This window comes from Homo sapiens, chromosome 8, assembly GCF_000001405.40.
Source record: "Homo sapiens chromosome 8, GRCh38.p14 Primary Assembly".
In the NCBI taxonomy this organism is placed as follows: domain Eukaryota; kingdom Metazoa; phylum Chordata; class Mammalia; order Primates; family Hominidae; genus Homo; species Homo sapiens.
Genome location: NC_000008.11, coordinates 16,651,663 through 16,674,100, shown reverse-complemented (window position 1 = coordinate 16,674,100; position 22,438 = coordinate 16,651,663). Strand labels below are relative to the sequence as shown.

General features: G+C 37.8%; 1 long non-coding RNA gene across 1 annotated transcript in view, besides 1 other annotated feature; it reads left to right on the top strand.

Moving 5' to 3' along the window:
* The window catches only part of LOC101929028 (uncharacterized), a 382,849-nt gene that overhangs the window by 81,337 nt on the left and 279,074 nt on the right, over positions 1-22,438 (top strand). Inside the window, exons 4-6 of the long non-coding RNA XR_007061175.1 lie at positions 8,341-8,553; positions 11,402-11,566; positions 18,963-19,085. This is a non-coding gene — a long non-coding RNA (uncharacterized LOC101929028). The remainder of the gene's footprint in view (positions 1-8,340; positions 8,554-11,401; positions 11,567-18,962; positions 19,086-22,438) is intronic.
* Positions 14,034-14,234: a silencer, noted in NCBI's record as "peak6924 fragment used in MPRA reporter construct". NCBI's record gives its function as "represses an SCP1 promoter by STARR-seq MPRAs in K562 erythroleukemia cells {active_cell/tissue: K562}" and the evidence as "EXISTENCE:reporter gene assay evidence [ECO:0000049][PMID:32103011]".

Below are 22,438 nucleotides of genomic sequence, written 5' to 3'. Positions count from 1 at the left end.
AAGGGATCCAGTTTCAGCTTTCTACATATGGCTAGCCCGTTTTCAAAGGGAATGCTTCCAGTTTTTGCCCATTCAGTATGATATTGGCTGTGGGTTTGTGATAGATAGCTCTTATTATTTTGAAATACGTCCCATCAATACCTAATTTATTGAGAGTTTTTAGCATGAAGGGTTGTTGAATTTTGTCAAAGGCTTTTTCTGCATCTCTTGAGATAATCATGTGGTTTTTGTCTTTGGCTCTGTTTATATGCTGGATTACATTTATTGATTTGTGTATATTGAACCACCCTTGCATCCCAGGGATGAAGCCCACTTGATCATGTTGGATAAGCTTTTTGATGTGCTGCTGGATTTGTTTTGCCAGTACTTTATTGAGGATTTTTGCATCAATGTTCATCAAGGATATTGGTCTAAAATTCTCTTTTTTTGGTTGTGTCTCTGCCCGGCTTTGGTATCAGAATGATGCTGGCCTCATAAAATGAGTTAGGGAGGACTCCCTCTTTTTCTATTGATTGGAATAGTTTCAGAAGGAATGGTACCAGCTCCTTCTTATACCTCTGGTAGAATTTGGCTGTGAATCCATCTGGTCCTGGACTCTTTTTGGTTGGTAAGCTATTGATTATTGCCACATTTTCAGATCCTGTTATTGGTCTATTCAGAGATTCAACTTCTTCCTGGTTTAGTCTTGGGAGAGTGTATATGTCGAGGAATTTATCCATTTCTTCTAGATTCTCTAGTTTATTTGCATAGAGGTGTTTGTAGTATTCTCTGATGGTAGTTTGTATTTCTGTGGGATCAGTGTCGATATCCCCTTTATCATTTTTTATTGCATCTATTTGATTCTTCTCTCTTTTTTTCTTTATTAGTCTTGCTAGCGGTCTATCAATTTTGTTGATCCTTTCAAAAAACCAGCTCCTGGATTCATTAATTTTTTGAAGGGTTTTTTGTGTCTCTATTTCCTTCAGTTCTGCTCTGATTTTAGTTATTTCTTGCCTTCTGCTAGCTTTTGAATGTGTTTGCTCTTGCTTTTCTAGTTCTTTTAATTGTGATGTTAGGGTGTCAATTTTGGATCTTTCCTGCTTTCTCTTGTGGGCATTTAGTGCTATAAATTTCCCTCTACACACTGCTTTGAATGCGTCCCAGAGATTCTGGTATGTTGTGTCTTTGTTCTCATTGGTTTCAAAGAACATCTTTATTTCTGCCTTCATTTCGTTATGTACCCAGTAGTCATTCAGGAGCAGGTTGTTCAGTTTCCATGTAGTTGAGCAGATTTGAGTGAGATTCTTAATCCTGAGTTCTAGTTTGATTGCACTGTGGTCTGAGAGATAGTTTGTTATAATCTCTGTTCTTTTACATTTGCTGAGGAGAGCTTTACTTCCAAGTATGTGGTCAATTTTGGAATAGGTGTGGTGTGGTGCTGAAAAAAATGTATATTCTGTTGATTTGGGGTGGAGAGTTCTGTAGATGTCTATTAGGTCCGCTTGGTGCAGAGCTGAGTTCAATTCCTGGGTATCCTTGGTGACTTTCTGTCTCGTTGATCTGTCTAATGTTGACAGTTGGGTGTTAAAGTCTCCCATTATTAATGTGTGGGAGTCTAAGTCTCTTTGTAGGTCACTCAGGACTTGCTTTATGAATCTGGGTGCTCCTGTATTGGGGGCATATATATTTAGGATAGTTAGCTCTTCTTGTTGAATTGATCCCTTTACCATTATGTAATGGCCTTCTTTGTCTCTTTTGATCTTTGTTGGTTTAAAGTCTGTTTTATCAGAGACTAGGATTGCAACCCCTGCCTTTTTCTGTTTTCCATTTGCTTGGTAGATCTTCCTCCATCCTTTTATTTTGAGCCTATGTGCGTCTCTGCATGTGAGATGGGTTTCCTGAATACAGCACACTGGTGGGTCTTGACTCTTTATCCAATTTGCCAGTCTGTGTCTTTTAATTGGAGCATTTAGTCCATTTACATTTAAAGTTAATACTGTTATGTGTGAATTTGATCCTGTCATTATGATGTTAGCTGGTGATTTTGCTGGTTAGTTGATGCAGTTTCTTCCTAGTCTCGATGGTCTTTACATTTTGGCATGATTTTGCAGCGGCTGGTACCGGTTGTTCCTTTCCATGTTTAGCGCTTCCTTCAGGAGCTTTTTTAGGGCAGGCCTGCTGGTGACAAAATCTCTCAGCATTTGCTTGTCTGTAAAGTATTTTATTTCTCCTTCACTTATGAAGCTTAGTTTGGCTGGATATGAGATTCTGGGTTGAAAATTCTTATCTTTAAGAATGTTGAATATTGGCCCCCACTCTCTTCTGGCTTGTAGGGTTTCTGCTGAGAGATCCGCTGTTAGTCTGATGGGCTTCCCTTTGAGGGTAACCCGACCTTTCTCTCTGGCTGCCCTTAACATTTTTTCCTTCATTTCAACTTTGGTGAATCTGACAATTATGTGTCTTGGAGTTGCTCTTCTCGAGGAGTATCTTTGTGGCGTTCCCTGTATTTCCTGAATCTGAACGTTGGCCTGCCTTGCTAGATTGGGAAAGTTCTCCTGGATAATATCCCACAGAGTGTTTTCCAACTTGGTTCCATTCTCCCCATCACTTTCAGATACACCAATCAGACGTAGATTTGGTCTTTTCACATAGTCCCATATTTCTTGGAGGCTTTGCTCATTTCTTTTTATTCTTTTTTCTCTAAACTTCCCTTCTCACTTCATTTCACTCATTTCGTCTTCCATTGCTGATACCCTTTCTTCCAGTTGATCGCATCGGCTCCTGAGGCTTCTGCGTTCTTCACGTAGTTCTCGAGCCTTGGTTTTCAGCTCCATCAGCTCCTTTAAGCACTTCTCTGTATTGGTTATTCTAGTTATACATTCTTCTAAATTTTTTTCAAAGTTTTCAACTTCTTTGCCTTTGGTTTGAGTGTCCTCCCATAGCTGAGAGTAATTTGATCGTCTGAAGCCTTCTTCTCTCAGCTCGTCAAAGTCATTCTCCATCCAGCTTTGTTCCGTTGCTGGTGAGGAACTGCGTTCCTTTGGAGGAGGAGAGGCACTCTGCTTTTTAGTGTTTCCAGTTTTTCTGTTCTGTTTTTTCCCCATCTTTGTGGTTTTATCTACTTTTGGTCTTTGATGATGGTGATGTACAGATGGGTTTTTGGTGTGGATGTCCTTTCTGTTTGTTAGTTTTCCTTCTAACAGACAGGACCCTCAGCTGCAGGTCTGTTGGAATACCCTGCAGTGTGAGGTGTCAGTGTGCCCCTGCTGGGGGGTGCCTCCCAGTTAGGCTGCTCGGGGGTCAGCGACCCACTTGAGGAGGCAGTCTGCCCGTTCTCAGATCTCCAGCTGCGTGCTGGGAAAACCACTGCTGTCTTCAAAGCTGTCAGACAGGGACATTTAAGTCTGCAGAGGTTACTGCTGTCTTTTTCTTTGTCTGTGCCCTGCCCCCAGAGGTGGAGCCTACAGAGGCAGGCAGGCCTCCTTGAGCTGTGGTGGGCTCCACCCAGTTCGAGCTTCCTGGCTGCTTTGTTTACCTAAGCAAGCCTGGGCAATGGCGAGCGCCCCTCCCCCAGCCTCGCTGCCGCCTTGCAGTTTGATCTCAGACTGCTGTGCTAGCAATCAGCGAGACTCCGTGGGCGTAGGACCCTCCGAGCCAGGTGTGGGATATAATCTCGTGGTGGGCCGTTTTTTAAGCCGGTCGGAAAAGCGCAGTATTCTGGTGGGAGTGACCGGATTTTCCAGGTGCGTCCGTCACCCCTTTCTTTGACTCGGAAAGGGAACTCCCTGACCCCTTGCGCTTCCCAAGTGAGGCAATGCCTCGCCCTGCTTCGGCTCGCGCACGGTGCGCGCACTCACTGACCTGCGCCCACTGTCTGGCACTCCCAAGTGAGATGAACCCGGTACCTCAGATGGAAATGCAGAAATCACCCGTCTTCTGCGTCGCTCGCGCTGGGAGCTGTAGACAGGAGCTGCTCCTATTCGGCCATCTTGGCTCCTCCCCACAAAGTCTTAAATCTCATTTTTCATAGAAATTCATGGATCCTACTTAGGAAATGTCTTTCATAAAATTCAGATTGGGTAGGATGATATGCTTTTTCCATTTAATATATTTTGACGAATGTTTTTTAACTATTCTTTAATAATTTCAATTTAATAGATGTCTAGAATTTGATTATTGAGTTTTCTATGACCATAATTCACTTATTTCTGTCTTAGTAGATAATTTAATTTGTTTATAACATTTTGCCATTGAAAACAATGTTTTTTAAAAGTTTATTTGGATTTCAATAGCTTTCGAGGTACAAGTGGTTTATGGTTACAGGGATACTTTGGATAGTAGTGAAGTCTGAGCTTTCAGTGTGCCTACATCATGGGAACAGTGGGCAGTGTATCCAATGGAGGAGAAAACAGTGGTGCACTGTAAATCTTTGCAGCCAACCCCCTTGTTTATATCCTTCATCATTTCTTACATTATAACTGTAGTCACTGGATCAAAAGTTATGTTTATTTTATGGCTGTTTTCTTGGGAATTAACTGTTTATGTTCATTGCTACAGTTTTTACAGAAAACAGTTAATATTCTTGCTATACAAATAATGCTTGATATCAATAATTAAATTAAAAATAATGCCAGAAGAAATCAGTCCATAAATTTTCCCTGTTACCTTTTGATTGAGCTTATGATTTTAATAATTTTTTTGATCAAATCTGTGAAGAATTTCTGATATGCCTTTGTTTAATGAAGGGCTAAGGTTACATAAATATTCCCCTGTACTCTCATCTAGGTTGTTTGTGCTTTCTTATAAAATTCTCAATGATTATGGAAGTTATTATGTAAATTGTTTCGGGTTCTAACAGTTTTAATATTATCATTATTATGAACTGATTTGTTAACCACTCATCCCAAGCAAACATTTTTGATTAATTCATCCATTTCTTTACTTTTCCTTAATTTGGGTGGGCACATCATATATTAAATGTGTGGAACTCATATATCATCAAAGTTCCTCTTGCCCTTTGGGGACCCAGGTGTATTTTGTTCCTATCTTCACTGATTTGGTGTGTGCCCCTTTGGCCTCCCAAGCAAGGTATGTTCCCATTCCTAGCACTTCACTGCTTCATGGCCTCTCCTGCTGAGCTCCTGTTTCTGAACACAGAGCCCATTCATCAAACCAATTTAATTAAAAAGCAAAACTCATTAGTTTTCTGGATTTCCCTGAAATAGTCCTTTTACCCCAATAATTCATGTATTTCTTGGTGGTCTCCTGAGAAGAGATCATAGCTCATTGCAACTCTGAACTCCTTGGGTCAAGTGATCCTCCCACCTCAGCCTCCAGAGCAGCTGGGAATACACGTGCATGCCACCGCTCCTGGCTAATTTTCTAATTTTGTAGAGATGGTGTCTCACCGTGTGGCCCAGGCTGGTCTCAAACTCCTGGACTCCAGCAATCCTCCCACCTCTGTCTCCCAAAGTGCTAGAATTACAGGTGTGAGCCACTTAGCTTACAGTTTTATAAAATACTTGTTTATACTTTCTAACATATCCTTTATATCTAATTTATCAGTTTTCTTATTCGTTTATCTTATCTTACTTTACATGATAAGATATATTTTGTCTGAACTGCTTTCCTGTAGGCACCCAGGGAAGGTGAAAGCCTTAAATAACAGTATGGTTGTTTCAGTGTTGCTCCTAACTTTCTGAGGTAGAAGGTCTTGAAATCTTCTGTTAAGGTTTTCTGATCGTGGAATGAGCACTGAGCATTTACTAGTGAGCTGTCTTGAACTTATTCTTTCTTTTATTTCGATCCCGCATGTGCTTTATATAGCAACAATTCTTCAAAACTGGTAAAAGTGCATCACAAGTTTGCTAGTTTTCAGTGCTGATATAAGGTTTTACTTATTTTTATATTCACTTGTTTTCCTCAAGCATTGGTGGTGGTCGGGGGGAGTTGGAGTTATAGTGGGGGTTTGGTCATGAGTGTCACATGCTTTTCCTACATTGCCATTTTATCAGAATTTCCACATTTAACTTTTCTCAACTATTCAAACCAATTTTTGATAGCAGTGTCAAACTCAATTTTTTTCCCTAGTACTCAATTTTCCCAGCCCAATTTCTTCAATAATCGACAATTTTTGGGTTGATTGATGATGCTTCTTATATCATGTGGTAATTTAGTATGTAGTAGGTTCCATTCAGAACTTTTCCTGTTTGTGTTATTTTTGTACTAGGCATATGATATCTTTATAATGTGTATTACATATGCAGCCTGATTTCCAGACTCCTCTCTGTTTTTATAACAAATTTTGTTATGTCATGTTCCAAACATGATTCTCTCTATCAGCTTCTAAGCCCCAGGAGGGCTTACTCAATCTAGACTTCTTTATGCTAGCCCAGTGCCTTTTAAGTCATGGATGTTATGATGGTCAGATTTATTCATCATCATGGCTAAGCTATAGTACCCAGTTTTTCAATTAAACACTAACTAAAGTGTTTTGTAAATGTGGTTAACATCTGTAATCAGTTGACTTTTAGTAAAGGAGATTGTCCTTGATAATCTGGGTTGGCGTCATCCAATCAGTTGAATGGCCTTAAGAGCAAAACCAAGGCTTCTCTGAGGAAGAAGAAACTCTGAGTGTAGATTACAGTGTCACCTCCTGCGGGAGACTGTCCAATTTGTCAACCTGCCCTAAAGATTTAGCACTTGCCACCCGTACAGTTGTGGAAGCCAATTCCTTGAAATCTCTCTCTTTTTTTCTCTCTCCCTCCCTCTCCCTTTCTGTCTTCCTCCTTCTTTCCATCTATCTCTGTTTATCTCTATCATCTCTATCTATCTTTATCTCTATCTCTGTCTCATCTCTGTCTATATCTGGTAGAACTCTGACTAATACAAGTGCCTATAAATCTATAAATATTTCTTCAGTGTCAGAGAATATTTTTTTCTCTACACCTTTTACATGTCACTGGTGTAATTTACTGTATAAAAAGCCAAGTACTATTCTTATATCATCTTATTTGTTGTGAAAACTTGTAACTAGTCTTAGGATTCAAGCAGAGAAAAAGAGTATTTTTTTCTACCCACAACAATGGTAGATTAACTCATGCCAATACTTTCTGTACCAGCCAACAGCAACACAAAGAGTGTATTTTGTTCTCCCAAGGTGAGGTAACAATCATTCAAAAAATGAATAAAAGGCAAGAGTTTATTTTATATAAGTTCCATCATAATGTATTTATTGTACAACTAGCATAGACTTCCTCTTACAATAGTAGATCAGTGACTAAGTTAATGAGGATATTCACTTTAGCATAAATACCTCTTCACTGGTGTCTTCTTTCAGTAACCAGGAAACTCATATAAGAGTGTTTACACCTTTTATGATGAGAAGATAAAGCATGTGCCTTACTGAATCACGGGAATAGATGCACCAAAACAACTTTCACTATGTTCAAGTGAATGCAATTTGATGTGAGAAACAGTTCTCAGAATTGAGATACCATTTGCTTCTCTTTTTAGATTCAACACTAGACTCCTGTGGATACACAGTGCTTCCTCTTCTAGGGTAGATTCACATGAACGCATATCCACTCTAAAACTCATCGGTATGGCCTTTTTATAACTAAAACACGATTCCAGCAAGGCTGAAAACTCAAACGGCTGCTCCATAAATGTAGGCACATTATTAGAAATTGGTACCACTTGTGCTACACAAATGGGCAAACAGAGCACTAAACTTGTTCTTGCTCTCTTTTCCTGGGGTTGTAATGGCATTCAGAAATACAGTTTAAGGAATGATTATTAGAGAATAAAATCAATATCTCTACACCTTACCAATCTTCAAAAGAAATAAACTAAGAAATAGGAACAGAGATATTAGCTTTACACTGCATTGTTTTTCGATAAACATAAACAATAGTTATTTAACAATAAATGATTGTTACTTTAGGAAAAAATGCATTTGCTTCAGCTGGGTTAGTAACTACAGAAAGACGCATTCCTTTAACTACACTGTTGTAGTTGATTGTATGTCTTTGCAATAAATGTATTTTACCTTATGTTTGTGTTGGGGGGTGTGTGTGTGTGTGTATGTGTTTGAAAATTGCTTATGCTAAATGTTCTGTTAATTGAATATAGCCTATAGAAATAATACATTACTCCTTAATCTGAAGATAGTTTTCTGCACTTCATCTTCAAGTTGCTTTTCTGTACTACCTGTACAGAATAATTAGAGTTGTAAAAGTAGGAGAATTTACAGTTATGTGTGTGTGTGTATGTATGCGTGTGTGTTGGGGAGAATTTATAAAACACACAAAGTATGAACTATATTGAAAACATTATTTTTGTGGAAATTTTGTTGTTCAGATGCCTCTCAATTTTCATCTTGTTTTGGAAATGCTGCAAGGGCAAGAGGATCCTTTTAATTATTCATCATTTAGATGCGCTGAAAGATGAGGTTATTCTTCTGAAGACAAGAAGGCAACCCAAAGTATTAAATTTACATTTGGTCAGAAATGCCACACTCCAGAAGAATGAACATGCTTGGAAAATTTTAATTTTATTCATTTACTAACTTAGGTAACCCTCCACTTTTTTGTCTCCTTTGAGCTTCACCTCTATACTTCTGCAAATCTCCTCTTGAATTACCCTATAATTCCACAATTTTTCTCTTTAGTAAATTCAACAATTAATACGCAGGTCTCATTGTACTGCATTTGTCAGTAGCATTTGACAACAGTTAATTATTCTTCCCTCTTTAATCATTTGGCTTCCAGAACAGCACTCGTAATTTTCTATGATTACTCTCAGTGTTGTTTTCCCATTGCTGTGTCATAAGTTGCCGCAAATTTTGTGGCTTAAAATAATACTCATTTGTTATCTTACAGTTTCTGCTGGCCAAAAATCTGGCTCAGGGTCTCACAAGGGTAAAATCAAAGTGTTGGCGGGGGTATTTTCTCATCTAGAGGTTTGTCTGGAAAAGAATTCACTTTGAGTTCTTTCATATTATTGTCAGAACTCATTTCTTGCAGCTTTAAGACTGAGGCCTCTGTTGTTTTGCTGGCTATTAGATCGGGGTCACTCCCACTCCTAAGGCTGTTTTCAGGTCCTTGCTACATGGCCCTCTCAAAAACCTCTCAAAACATGGCTGTTGGATTCTTCAAGCCCAGGAAGAGAATATTTTACATTTTAGTGGGGTACAGTGGCTCACCTGTAATCCCAGCACTTTGGGAAGCTGAGGCGGGTGGATCACTTGAGTCCAGGAGTTTGAAAGCAGCCTAGGTAACATGGTGAAACTCTTGTCTCTGTGAAAAAATTATAAAAAATTAAGCAGGCATGTTGACGTGCATCCATAGTCCCAGCTCCTCAGGGGGCTGAGGTGGGAGGATCACCTGAGCCCAGGAGGTCAAGGCTGCAGTGAGCAGTGAACATGCTACTGTACTCCAGCCTGAGTGATAGAGCAAGACCCTTTCTCAGTAAAATAAAACAGAATAAAATAATAAAATACCTTGCTGGATTAGGTCATGCCCATACAGAATAAGTTCCTTTTTTAGTAATTTAAATCTACTGATTAGGGACCTTAATTACATCTTTCCCATAAGATATAACCTATTCATGGGAGTAAGATCTAATTATGTTATTAAGTCCCACCTACAGTCAAGGGGAGGGGATTATTTGGGGTTTGTACACCAGGAGACAGGAATTTAAGAATTCTGTCTGCTGTACTCCTTCTAAACCTTCTTCTCTCATCTCTACAACGTCTTGGTGCTCCAGAGCCCCAGGGCTCAGTCTTTGGTTCTCCTTTCTCCTCTATCTTTGTTTACTCCCTAGGTGATCATATCATTCTCACCTATTTAAGTACTATTTGATGCTGATGAATACCAAACTTATAACCCCAGTCCGTATTTCTTCCTTTATGTCAGACTCAAGTATCCAACTATGTATTTGATTTGGACATAGATTAGACATCTCCTTATTCACAAATCTCAGATGGACCTTTATCCCTCTCTGCAATCCACTTGCTTTGTGGTCTCTCCTTTAATTTGTTATTTTTCACATATCCTGTCAAATTACACTGCTAGGCCTCTTTCCATCTTTATAAAGGCAGTATCCTTTAATCCTCCTCCCTCAAATTATTCTTCTCCATCTGCCTTACAGACTTCCAGCCCAAGGTCAATCCTTTTATCTTTTTGTACTATCTTTTACCAAGTGAGTGGAACAGTGATGGAGAACATAACATAGGCATGCATTTTTTTGGTGCCACTTTGTGCCACTACAAGTAAATGATCTCCAACTCCAAGGGGGCCTCCGTGCTTTTGAGGAATAAGTTTACTTGTCTACTCTGTCTTTGTATCTTTGTGATATAAATGCCTTTAAACATTTATCATTCTTTTAACTTCTGTGCACCAATGAGAGTTCCCCACAAGCAGGAGGTACAGGTGCCTCCTACCTAATATCTAATGCCTATACTCATGAATACTCATTCCGCTGTCTTCCTGTGATCACACATAAGTCATTCTTCAAATGTCCCCATTTTCTTTATATTTTTAATGCTTTCCTTTCCAGTGGCTCTTTCCCTTAGGTGATAAATATGTACAAATCTATTGCATCTAAAAACAAACTAAAAAAAAAAAAACACCTTCTTTGTCCTTGGGTACTTCTCTGCTTGCTACCTTGATTTTCTTATATGCAATTCAATCAATCATCTTGACAGAGTGCTCTTATTTACCCTTTTATTTTCTGACCTGTTTACTGCATGACTCTCGGGCTTCTGCTCCGAAAATACCATTAAACTGCTCTCTCTCAAAAGTTACTAATAACTGCTAAATTTCAAAACCCATAAACATTTTTCAGGTCTCTTCTATTGCCATCTGACGGTATCTGTCACTTCTGTCTTCTTGAAACAATGGAATTATTGGGCTGTAGTTCCACTTCTACCTCTCGGATTGCTTTTAATTTCCTTAGACATTAATTTCTCATTCTGTGTCCCTTAGTTTCTTATTTCTTTATTATAACATCTGATTATTTCCTCATCTAATCCTACAACTTTAACTATGTCAAATAGATTGGTGACCGTGCTATATAAATTTATTTTTTAGGTGTGGCTTCTAGATCCAGATCCTTATTTCTAATCTAGACATTAGACAGACCCCAAAAAACTTAGACTCCTTCATGATTCTCTTTTTCCCCCCACAACATACTTGTCCTTTTGTAATGTTAGTCTTGGCTTATGTATCCAGTCGCAAAACCAAAAACCTGTTGGTCACCATTTCATTTTTTAATTTATTAACTTACCAAGTATTTTTGGGTGTTAATTGTACACTATGCATGCACTGTGCGAAAGGCTGGCAGGATATTAATGAAATGAACAGATGCAGTTTTTAATTTTTTGTTTGTTTGTTTACCAAACTTTTACTTTATATTCTAGTGGGAGAGACAAAGACAAGATAACAAGCAAATTAATAATTGCATCTTTGGTAACTTTTCTGAAGAAAATAAACATTAGACTCGGTCAGAGAATAATGGTGAAAAGGTTGCCCTGGAAAAAGTGATAAGGAACAGCCTTTTTGGGATGGTGAATATGAAGAGTATGGTAAGATCTTTCTTTCTTTCTTTCTTTTTTTTTTTTTTTTCTGAGACAGAGTCTTGCTCTGTCACCCAGGCTGGAGTGCAGTGGCGCAATCTCGGCTCACTGCAACCTCCGCCTCCCGGGTTCAAGCAATTCTCCTGCCTCAGCCTCCCAAGAGGCTAGGATTACAGGTGCCCACCACCACATCCGGCTAATTTTTGTATTTTTAGTACAAATATTAGTTTCACCAGGACAGCTTGTGCAAAGGCCATGAGGCATAAAACTATTTAGCCAGTTTTAGGGCCTGATGAGTCCCAAGAAGGAGATTATAATTAGAAGTAATCAATCGTATGTCTACCAAAGAAATTATCCAAGCTAACTCCTGCCTGCCCTTCATGCCTTTTAAATTTATTTTATTTTATTTTTGTGAGAGTGGGATGTGGCTTCTGTATTTCACACGGGGAAGACCTCACCTAAGATATTGTGTTCTCTTCTGGAAAGCTCACCTTTGGAGGTCTTTTAATCAAATTGAAGAATGTTGAAGGGCAAGGAATGAGAATATTTCTGGGTCATTGTAAATCACATGAGAAGGTACCTGAAGGAGCTGAGAATGTTTCATCTGCAGAAGGAAAGAATCAGAAATTTGATAACTGTTTTTGATTATTTTTAAGGACTCATGTGTAGTAAGGTTTGGATTGATTTTGAGAGGTTCTGGAGGAGAGAACTAGGATGAAAAGTGGAAATAATGGGAGGGAAAATTTAACTTTAACATAAAATAATTTCCAACCATTAAAGAACATCTTAAAATGAATCAGGCTACTTTAGAGAATAAATTCCTCAATCCTGTATGTGCTTAATAACAGGCTAGAGAGACACTTTCATAAAAAATTAAGCTAGATTACCTCTTAAATGATAAACTGCCTTTTTACATTCATGTTTTATTTTATTTTTATCATATTATTCTTAAAAATAAATTTTAAGTTTTATTTTAGAATCAGCAGTTGCTTGGAAGTATTTATTATGTAAGTATATGGTGTGATGCTGAGGTTTGGAGCACAGTTGATTGCGTCGTCCAGGTGCTGAGCATAGTACCCAAGAATTAGGTGGCGTTTTTGTTTGTTTGTTTGTTTTTGTTTTCTTTTTTGAGACAGAGGCACGCTCTGTCGCACAGGCTGGAGTGCAGTGGTGTGATCTCGGCTCACTGCAATCTCCGCCTCCTGGGGTCAAGCAATTATCCTATCCCGCCTCAGCCTCCCGAGTAGCTGCGATTACAGGTGCTTGCTACCATGCCTGGCAAATTTTTGTAATTTTAGAAGAGACGGGGTTTCACCATGTTGGCCAGGCTGGTCTCGAATTCCTGACCTCAGGTGATCCGCCCGCTTCAGCCTCCTAAAGTGCTGGAATTACAGGCATGAGCCACTGTACCCGGCCAAGAATTATTTTTTTAACCTTTGTCCCCGCACTTTGTCTCCCTCTAGTAGTCCCCAGTATTTATCGTTGCCATCTTTATGCCCATGAGTACCCAATTTTTAGCTTCTACTTACAATAAGTGAGAACATGCGATATTTGCTTTTCTGTTTCTGTCTTAATTTGCTTAGGATAATGCCTCCATGCCTTAAATTTGTTCCCAAAGAAATAATGAATATTTTAGATGATGGATATGCTAATTACCATAATCTGAGTTTTACAAGTTTAAGATTTTTTTTACTGTTACTTCACAGTTTAACTCCATTTTTGTTCAGGAATATTATTCTATATAATTTCAGTCCTTCTGAATTTGACATCTTTTATGCCTCAGCAGGTGGACTATCTTAGTAAATATTCCATGTATCTTTAGAATACATGGAATTCCATCTGTAGATATTCATTCCATTTGTAGATGTCCATATGTCCATTATGTCCAAATGTCCATTATGTCTACTTATTTGATAGTGTTTGTGTCAGATGAAAAAGAATATCTTAGATCCTTTGTAAAGAAATGGTTCTACCCATAGCAAGGAGTGTGGTTAGCTGTCAGCCTCTAGCTGCTAGCTCCATTAGGGTCTACCTCAGGTTTTGAGTTGAGGTTACTTTCTTCTTGCCAATGGCTTAACCCAATATGAGGCTCTTCTAAAAGCAAATCTTTGTTCCAGAGCTTCCCATGGGGTTGGCCAATATTTTGCGAGATCTTATATCACCGTCTGATGAGTTCTTCTCCGTAAGCCTTTCTCCTTTCCTTTCTTTTATCTATTTTTTTTATTATACTTTAAGTTTTAGGGTACATGTGCACAACGTGCAGGTTTGTTACATATGTATACATGTGCTATGTTGGTGTGCTGCATCCATTAACTCGTCATTCAACATTAGGTATATCTCCTAATGCTATCCATTCCCCCTCCCTTCACCCCACAACAGGCCCCGGTGTGTGATGTTCCCCTTCCTGTGTCCCTGTGTTCTCATTGTTCAGTTTCCATCTGTGAGTGACAACATGCGGTGTTTGGTTTTTTTCTAAGACGTTACTTGTCAGTGCAACTTCTGTAAATCTAATGTTATCTCAATGTCTGATTGCTGGAGAACCTGACTAGCATAGTTGGCATGAGGAGTGGTTTGACAATGCAAGCCATGCTCAATTAGCAAGTCATTGAAAACTAAGCATGAGAGCCAGAGTGCTTTGGCAGCTTACAAAGAAGCCCTTATCTCATGCAGTAGATTAGCAGAAAGAGCTGAAGACCAAACCCTTGTCTAAGAGTCAGAGCAGGTGAACTTTCAACACAGTTCAATGCACAGATGTAGTTGTGAGATGTCAAAGTCAGGGCCCTAGCTGGAGAACCTGGCACCATACCCCAAGGATAGTGTTATCTGGGTGAATTTATCCCTCCTCCAGTTTGATTCCTCAGACTTCTTTGAATCTTCTGAGCTTTCGAAGGACCTTTCTCCCATCCCAGAAGGCACTAACACTATCCCTGTGCAGAAAGTAATATAGAAGGACAGAGAGGGAGGGAGAACATGACAATCAGTTATTTTGACTATGGGGGAATAGCTGGTCTGATTCAGTTACACCTTTGTGTCTGGAAGTAAAACTTTTTCCTTTAACTTTTTAAATAGACTTTATTTTTTACATCAGTTTGAGGTTCACAGCAAAACTGAGTGGAAGATACATGAATTTCCTATATATCCCCTGCACCCACTTGTACACAACCTCCCCTATCATGAAAATCCTGCCCCAGAGTGGTACTTTTGTTACAGTCAGTGAATCTATATTGACATCATTATCAAAGTCCATGGTTTATATGACTTTTGGTGTTAAACATTCTATGGGTTTTGATAAGTTGATAATGACATATATATAGCATTAGTACTATAGAGAGTAGTTTCACCACCCTGAAAATCCTCTGTGCTCCACCTATTCTTCTTCCTTCCCCAACCACTGGCAAACACTGATCATTTCACTGTCTCTATAAGTTTTAACTTTTCCAGACTGTCGTTTAGTTGGAATCATACAGTACGCAGTCTTTTCAGATTGGCTTCTTTCCCTTTGTAATGTGCATTATGGTTCCTCCCTGAGTAGTCTTTTCATCGCTCAATACCTTACTCAAATTTTAGTGCCGAATAAGATTCCATTGTCTGGATCCTCATTTCTTTTGATATGTTAGCATGATATATCTTTCTCAATCCGTTACTTTTAATATATATGTGTCTTTATATTTAAAGTGTGCTTCTTGTAAACAGCATATGGTTAGGTCTTGTTTTTTTATTCACTCAGACAATCTCTGTCTTTTAATTGGTATATTTAGACCGTTGATGTTTAAAGTGATTATTGACATACTTGGAATAACATCTACTGTATTCGCTAATGTTTTCTATTTGTTACCCTTGTCCTTTATTCACAGTTTTGAATTCTACTTTTTCTTCCCTTGATGCTTTTAATTGAGCATTTTATTTAATACCATTTTATCTCCTTTCTTAGCATAACAGTTATATTTTTTTTCCTATTTTTAAGTGGTTGCCCTAGAGTTAGCAATATAGATTTACAATTCATTAAAATCCACTCTTTAATGCTGCTTTAGTACTGTGAGTACTTTATAGTAATAAAATAACCCTCATTATTTTATTATTGCTGTCATTTATTTTATGTATACAAATAAATTGGTTACAAATTTCCTCAAATTTTATTGTCTGAAGAAGTGTTTATTTCTCTTTCACTTTTGAAGGGTAATTTCTTAGGACAAAGAATTCTAGGTTGCTGGGATTTTTTTTCTCTTAACACATTAAATATTTTACTTTATTCTCTTTTTGCTTGCATGGTTTCTGAGAAGTAATTGGATATGATTCTTATTTTTGCTCCTATTTAATAAGATGTTTTGTTTTCTCTGGTTTCTTTCAAGGTCTTTTGTCTTTGATATTCTGAGTTTAAGTATAATATGGCTAGGGTTTTTTTATTTTTCCATTTATCCTGTTTGGTGTTCTCTGAGCTTCTTGCATCTGTGCTTTGGTGTCTGACTTTAATTTGGGGGAATTTTCATCCATTATTGCTTCAAGTATTTCTTCTTTTCTCTCCCTTGCTTTCTTCTCTTTCATCTTAGTTTGCATATGTTACACTTTTTGTAGTTCTTCCACAGTTCTTAAATACTGTTTGGGTTCTTTTTTCAGCCTTTTTTCTCTTTGCTATTTAGTGTTTGAAATTTTCGTTGAGTATTCTCAAGTTCAGAAATTCTTTCCTCAGCTGTGTTCAGTCTAATAGTAATCCTATCAAAGGCATTCTTCATTTCTATTAGTGTGTTTTTGATCTCTAGCATTTCTTTTTTATTCTTTCTTAGAACTTCTGCTGACATTGTTCATCTGTTATGATGTGTTATCTCCTTTATCCAATAGAGCCCTTAGCACAATAATCATAGTTGTTTGAAATTTCTCATCTGATAGTTCCATCATCTCTGCCATATGAGTTTGGTTCTTATGCTTGTTCTAGCTCTTCAAACTATATTTGCGACTTTTAGTATGCCTTGTAATTTTTTCCTGATAGCTGGACATGATGTATTGGGTAACAGGATAAATAGGCCTTTAGGAATGAGGTGATAAGATGTCAGAGGAGGGAAAGTGTCCTACAGTTGCCTGATTAGGTCTCAGTGTTTTAATGAGCTTATGCCTCTGGACTGTTAACCTCACATGTGCTTCTCACTTCTCCCATGGATTCCCCCCATCCCTGGCCCCAGGTGGGACAGAATAGCTAGATTGGACTGGAGTTGGGTATTTTTCTTCTTCTATGTGGAAAGCTAGAGAAGGCTAGAGTTGGGTATTCCCTTTCCCCCAGTTTAGTTAGGCCCCCAAACAAAACAGTAGTCTAGGCTCTGGGAAAACAGTTTTTTCTAGGGGCAGGCCTTATCAATAGCAGAATACTTTGGTAAATTTCAAAATGATTACTTTTTTCTTCCCCTTGCAAGGAGCATGAAGGAATTTTTAAATTCTCTTCTTTCTTTTTCATTTCTCTTCTCCTCTTTCACTGTCAAAACCTGGTTTAGCTCTAGGAGCTAAAGCTCACAAAAGTGTAGGGGTACTCCTTTAACTGGGTTTCCCTGGACTTTTTGACTCTCAAAATAATCTATACTGAGCCTCTAGTAATTTATTAATTACAGCTCAGGTTTTCTTACCCAGCACTGGTCCCCATGGAGGTTTCAGCTTGTGGGTCTTTGCTCTGGTAAGTTGTGATTCTCTGTATTCATCTGTCTCTCCAATTTGGAGGCCAGTGATTTTCCCTGTGACATTACTTCTCTGACAGATCTAAGAAGAGTCGTTGATTTTTCAGTTGGTTCAGCTTTTTTTTTTTTTTTTTTTTTTTTTTTAAAGACGGAGTCTCGCTCTGTCGCCCAGGCTGGAGTGCAGTGGCAACATCTCGGCTTACTGCAAGCTCCACCTCCCGGGTTCACGCCATTCTCCTTCCTCAGCCTCCCGAGTAGCTGGGACTACAGGCGCCCGCCACAACGCCCGGCTAATTTTTTTGTATTTTTAGTAGAGATGGGGTTTCACCGTGTTAGCCAGGATGGTATCAATCTCCTGAACTTGTGATCCGCCCGCCTCGGCCTCCCAAAGTGCTGGGATTACAGGCATGAGCCACCGCGCCAGTTGGTTCAGCTTTTTACTTGTTGGTAGGAATGAGTGACAACTTCTAAGCTCTCTACCTACCAGACTGTAAATTGGAAGTTTGTCCTTAAAATGTCAATTCTAGTTTTTAAAACATATTACTACCACATAGCTTTTGAGAATAAGCTGTCTACTAGTTCATTAGCTAAGCTATTTTTTATTGTTCAATCTTTGTTTTAAATGTTAAATTTGAAGTCTTCTTTATTTATAAAAATGCAGTGTTCTCTCCCAAATCTTACTTGTTTTCTATAGGCTCTTGTTCCCAGTTTTTTTCTTTTCTTCAGATATTTAAAATCGTCTGATAATTCTGATATTTACATTCTTTGAGGGTCATCTGTAACTTATGTGGTTTCTTTTATGATTTTTGACTCTGAACTGCTCATTTCCCTTGGAACTTTATATTTGGAAAGTTTTTGTTTAATGAATTGATGTTGCACATCCCTAGAGATGATTTTACTTTCTTCTATCAGTCATCAGGGAGCACTGCAAACCTTACCATACTTTAAATTAAAATTTCTGCTCCAAGTTTTACTCCTGAACATGTGGGTAAGCATAAATTCAAGCAAAAATCCATGTGACACTCAGTTCATGGTTACAAAATATCATGGGAGATTTTCTTTTCTTTCATCCAGTTACAAGTTTAAAATGGATAAATATTTTTGCTGTCCCTTCTTTATAATGGGTTCATTTTTCATTCATTCTTTGGCTTATCATAGGGCACTTTGGGGTACCAGATTTATCAGGCATATTTTATTAAACTACCCATGTCACATTAAAAACTTCTGTTCTTTCTAGCCCATACAGTCCTAGGGGAACGGGAAACTTTAGTCTCCCAAAATTTGGCAGAAATTTTCAGAATAAAAGCTGAATTTCACACATTTCATTTGCTTCTCAGCTTCTGTTTACATGTTATTTTAGCCCTCTGTGGTTTCTTCACTGTCTCTACAGCTTAATGATGTATTCATATATATTTAATTTTTCCCAGTTTATGTATATATGTTTCTCATTCAGGAGGATTATTTTATAAAAGAATTATTTTTCCTTTGTTTCAGCTAACAAAATTTGTGTTATATATTTATTTTTCATACGTAGAGATAGTAAATTGCATTTTATTTTTATCCTATTAAATCTATATGTTCAATCATGTAAGTCAGAACGTTATATGTACTTAGTAAAATTGGTCTTCAAATAAGTTTAATCAGTGGTTTAATTCATCACTTATTAATTAATTTCATTACATTGTTTAGACCTGCTTATTCGGTATAGTGAATATTAATTGAAAGCACTTACATCCATATTAAAACAGAATTACAATGTTCCTGAAAAGCCACTTTCCTGAGAAGAACTGCAACAGATTTTCATGATATCAAGAAGGCTTTATGTTCCTGTAAGAAAGTTTGGCTGTAAGTTCCTATCAAGATTCTACAAGGTAATTTTTATATGTCACTGTAAAAATGTCATCTAATGTGCTGTGTTGTGATGACGTTTATGTAGTTTGCCCTGTTATTCTCCTCTTTCTTATCCCTAAATAGAGTTTATTGCTGAAGTTATTTCTTTGTGGAAATTTATGTTACACTTGCCAGTGCTTTGTTCTGTCAGGACGCTGGAGTGCAATTCAGTAAGTAATGTACCTATGAGCACTCTCAAGTCCTCATTGGAGCAATGCTCTATCTGAGGGGATCTGATTTACAGTCAAAGAGGCAGCCAGGCAGAATGTTGCTGGATGAAAAGTTCAAAACTCTAAATAATACATAAAATAAAAATAAAATAGAATATATCTCATTGCATCTATTTATTAGAACTTTTTTTTGAGTTAAATCTACAAGAGTAAGCCCACTTTAATTTCTTAGAGAAAAGTTACTAAATAAATCTAGGTGGTTATGAAAACTTTAAAATATATCCTACTTCTTAGAAAAAATAAAACAAATATACTTTGGAAGATACATAAAACAACTTTTCATAGGAATTTGAAATAGAGATTTGGAGAAGTATTTTCAAGATCCCTAGTTTTAAGACTGTTTTCTGCCATTAAATAGATGTTCTAATTTGAACTAATCCTACAATTAAGAGATGGCTTTAAGGTAAGGAAAATAATACTTCGTCATATCTATAAAATATAAATTCCTTATACTTTTATTTAGTGTATATTGTAGAAAATAAACTTTTCTAATAGCACATTAAAAGGATATTTTCTCTCAATATGGCAGTCAGAATTCTCAAAAGTCTGAACATATCTTAGACTATAATGAATATTTTGTTTAGAAATAGTGGCACCTTTAGTTATTGAACTTCTGTTAAGCAGAAAATTAGAAAAAAATGAAAAAGAATTAGGATCAAAGCTATATTTCACATATGTAGCTGGGGTTGATTAGTGTTTTATGAGCGATAAGGATTTTATCCAATGACAATGTAGACTAGTAGGTGTGAATGTATTTTTGTCATTGAAACCAGCTTGCCAGACTTTTGATTTATGACATGATGATGAATTAGTATGTGTTAACACCTCCCTTTCCTTATATTCACCCTTGTAAGTGTCCCAAAGTGAGAGAGAGGAAGGTGACAAGCTCTCTTTTTTTAGAGATAGGTCTTACCTCGTAGCCTAGGTTGAAATTAAGTGGCAAAATCATAGCTCACTGTAGCCTCAAACTCCTGGGCTTAAGTGATCCTCCTACCTTAGCCTCTGAAGTAGTTGGGACTACAGATGCATGCCACCATACCCACTAATTATTACTTTTTATTTTTGTAGAAACCAGGTCTCTCTATATTGCCCAGGCCAGTCTCAAACTGCTGGTCTCAGGCAATCTCCTCATCTTAGCCTTCCAAAGGGCTGGGATTATAGGTGTGAGCCACCACACCCAGCTGGCTCTCATAACCTGGGATTAAAATAGCAAAAGACAAAAAAATGCACAAACAAAACGTCTAGGCCTACAAACAGTATAAGAGTCACTGGGGAAGAAATAGCAATCAAAAAAGGAAGAGAACTACAGATCATGGATAGGTAGACTTGGGGGTTATGGTTTTTGTTTCAGTTATAAAATGATGGTTCATTGCTATTCTCTGGTCACTAAGAAAAAGTCCAAACTCTAGCAAAAAGGGAGTTGCCCACAGAAAGAACCCCAAATATCTGTGGAGAGTAACTTCAAGGATTCATCTGAATATTATCAGTGCATACATTAGAGAAAAGAGCCTCAGCCTGGTAAAAAAAAAAAAAAAATTCTGAAACAACTAAAAGGGTCAGTGCCCGGTACTCACACAGGGGTGGGAATAATGCCTATTCACAACAGTTAGACCTAATAGCTCATAATTCATAGGGCATTGGGTAGTCTATGCAGAGTATCTTGTGTCAGTGGTGAGTAATAATTAACCCTACACTGAGCACCACTCCAGACCCACTAAAAATCGTAAAAGCAACACCCAAGAGTATCAGACAGTTTCTCAGTAATTTAAAATGAATTTCAGAAAAAACCCTCAAGAATATTTATAAGAATTTTTGAAATCCAGTAACTATCAAGGTAAAATTCATGATGTCTTATATCCATTCAGTGATGACTAGGCATGAAAAATGAAACCAGAAAACAAGACCAATATGAGGAGACTAATCAATTGACTCAGAATTTGTATAGTTGTTAGAATTAGCAGACACCTACATTAAAACTGAATGTAAAACTTTTCATAGGTTCTGAAGTTAAATTGAAACAATGAGATACCATTTCACACTGTTTTAAGTATCTAAAATTAAAAGGACTGATAATGCCGTGTGTTGGGAAAAATGTTGAGGAAGGGTAATTCTCATCCTTTCTTATTAGAGACACAAAATATCACAAAACCTAAAGGTTTTGTGATTGTTTATAACACTGAATATACACCTACCCTATGACCCAGGAATTCCCACTTCTAGGTACTTATCTAAAAGAAATGAAATCATGTTGATGCAAAAAGCCTTGTGTAACAATTTACATGGTAGATGTGTTCATCATATTCAAAACCTGGAAACAGCTCAGGTGCATCAGCAAGAAAAGGAATATGCAAACTGGATAAAATGGAAATGATGATAAAGTAAAATCCAGTCTTAAAGTGGAATAGAATTCACAGATTAAAAGGAGGAACTACTAATACAAACACAACACAGAGGAATATCACAGATATTATACTGACTGGAAGAAACAAGAAGCAAAAAAATATATAATGCATGATTTGATTCTATAAAGTTCTACAACAGGCAAATAATGGAAAGCAGAACAGTAATTGATTTGTGGGCGGGGGTGGGATTGACGTGATATGGGCATGATTTAACTTTCTAGGGTGATAGAAATGTTCTATATCTTCATACGGGTATGACTTATGTGTCCACAAAACAACCATACATATTTTTGAAGACTGCATACAAACAAAAATATTTATTCAACACTTTACATTGCTGGGGTAAATGCCCCAATTAAAAGACACAGACTGGCAAATTGGATAAAGAGTCAAGAACCAGGAGGAGCCAAGATGGCCGAATAGGAACAGCTCCTGTCTACAGTTCCCAGCATGAGCGACGCAGAAGACGGGTGATTTCTGCATTTCCATCTGAGGTACCGGGTTCACTCACTAGGGAGTGCCAGACAGTGGGTGCAGGACAGTGGGTGCAGTGCACCATGTGCCAGCCGAAGCAGGGCGAGGCATTGCCTCACTCGGGAAGCACAAGGGGTCAGGGAGTTCCCTTTCCTGGTCAAGGAAAGGGGTGACAGACGGCACCTGGAAAATCAGGCCACTCTCAGCCGAATACTGCGCTTTTCCGAC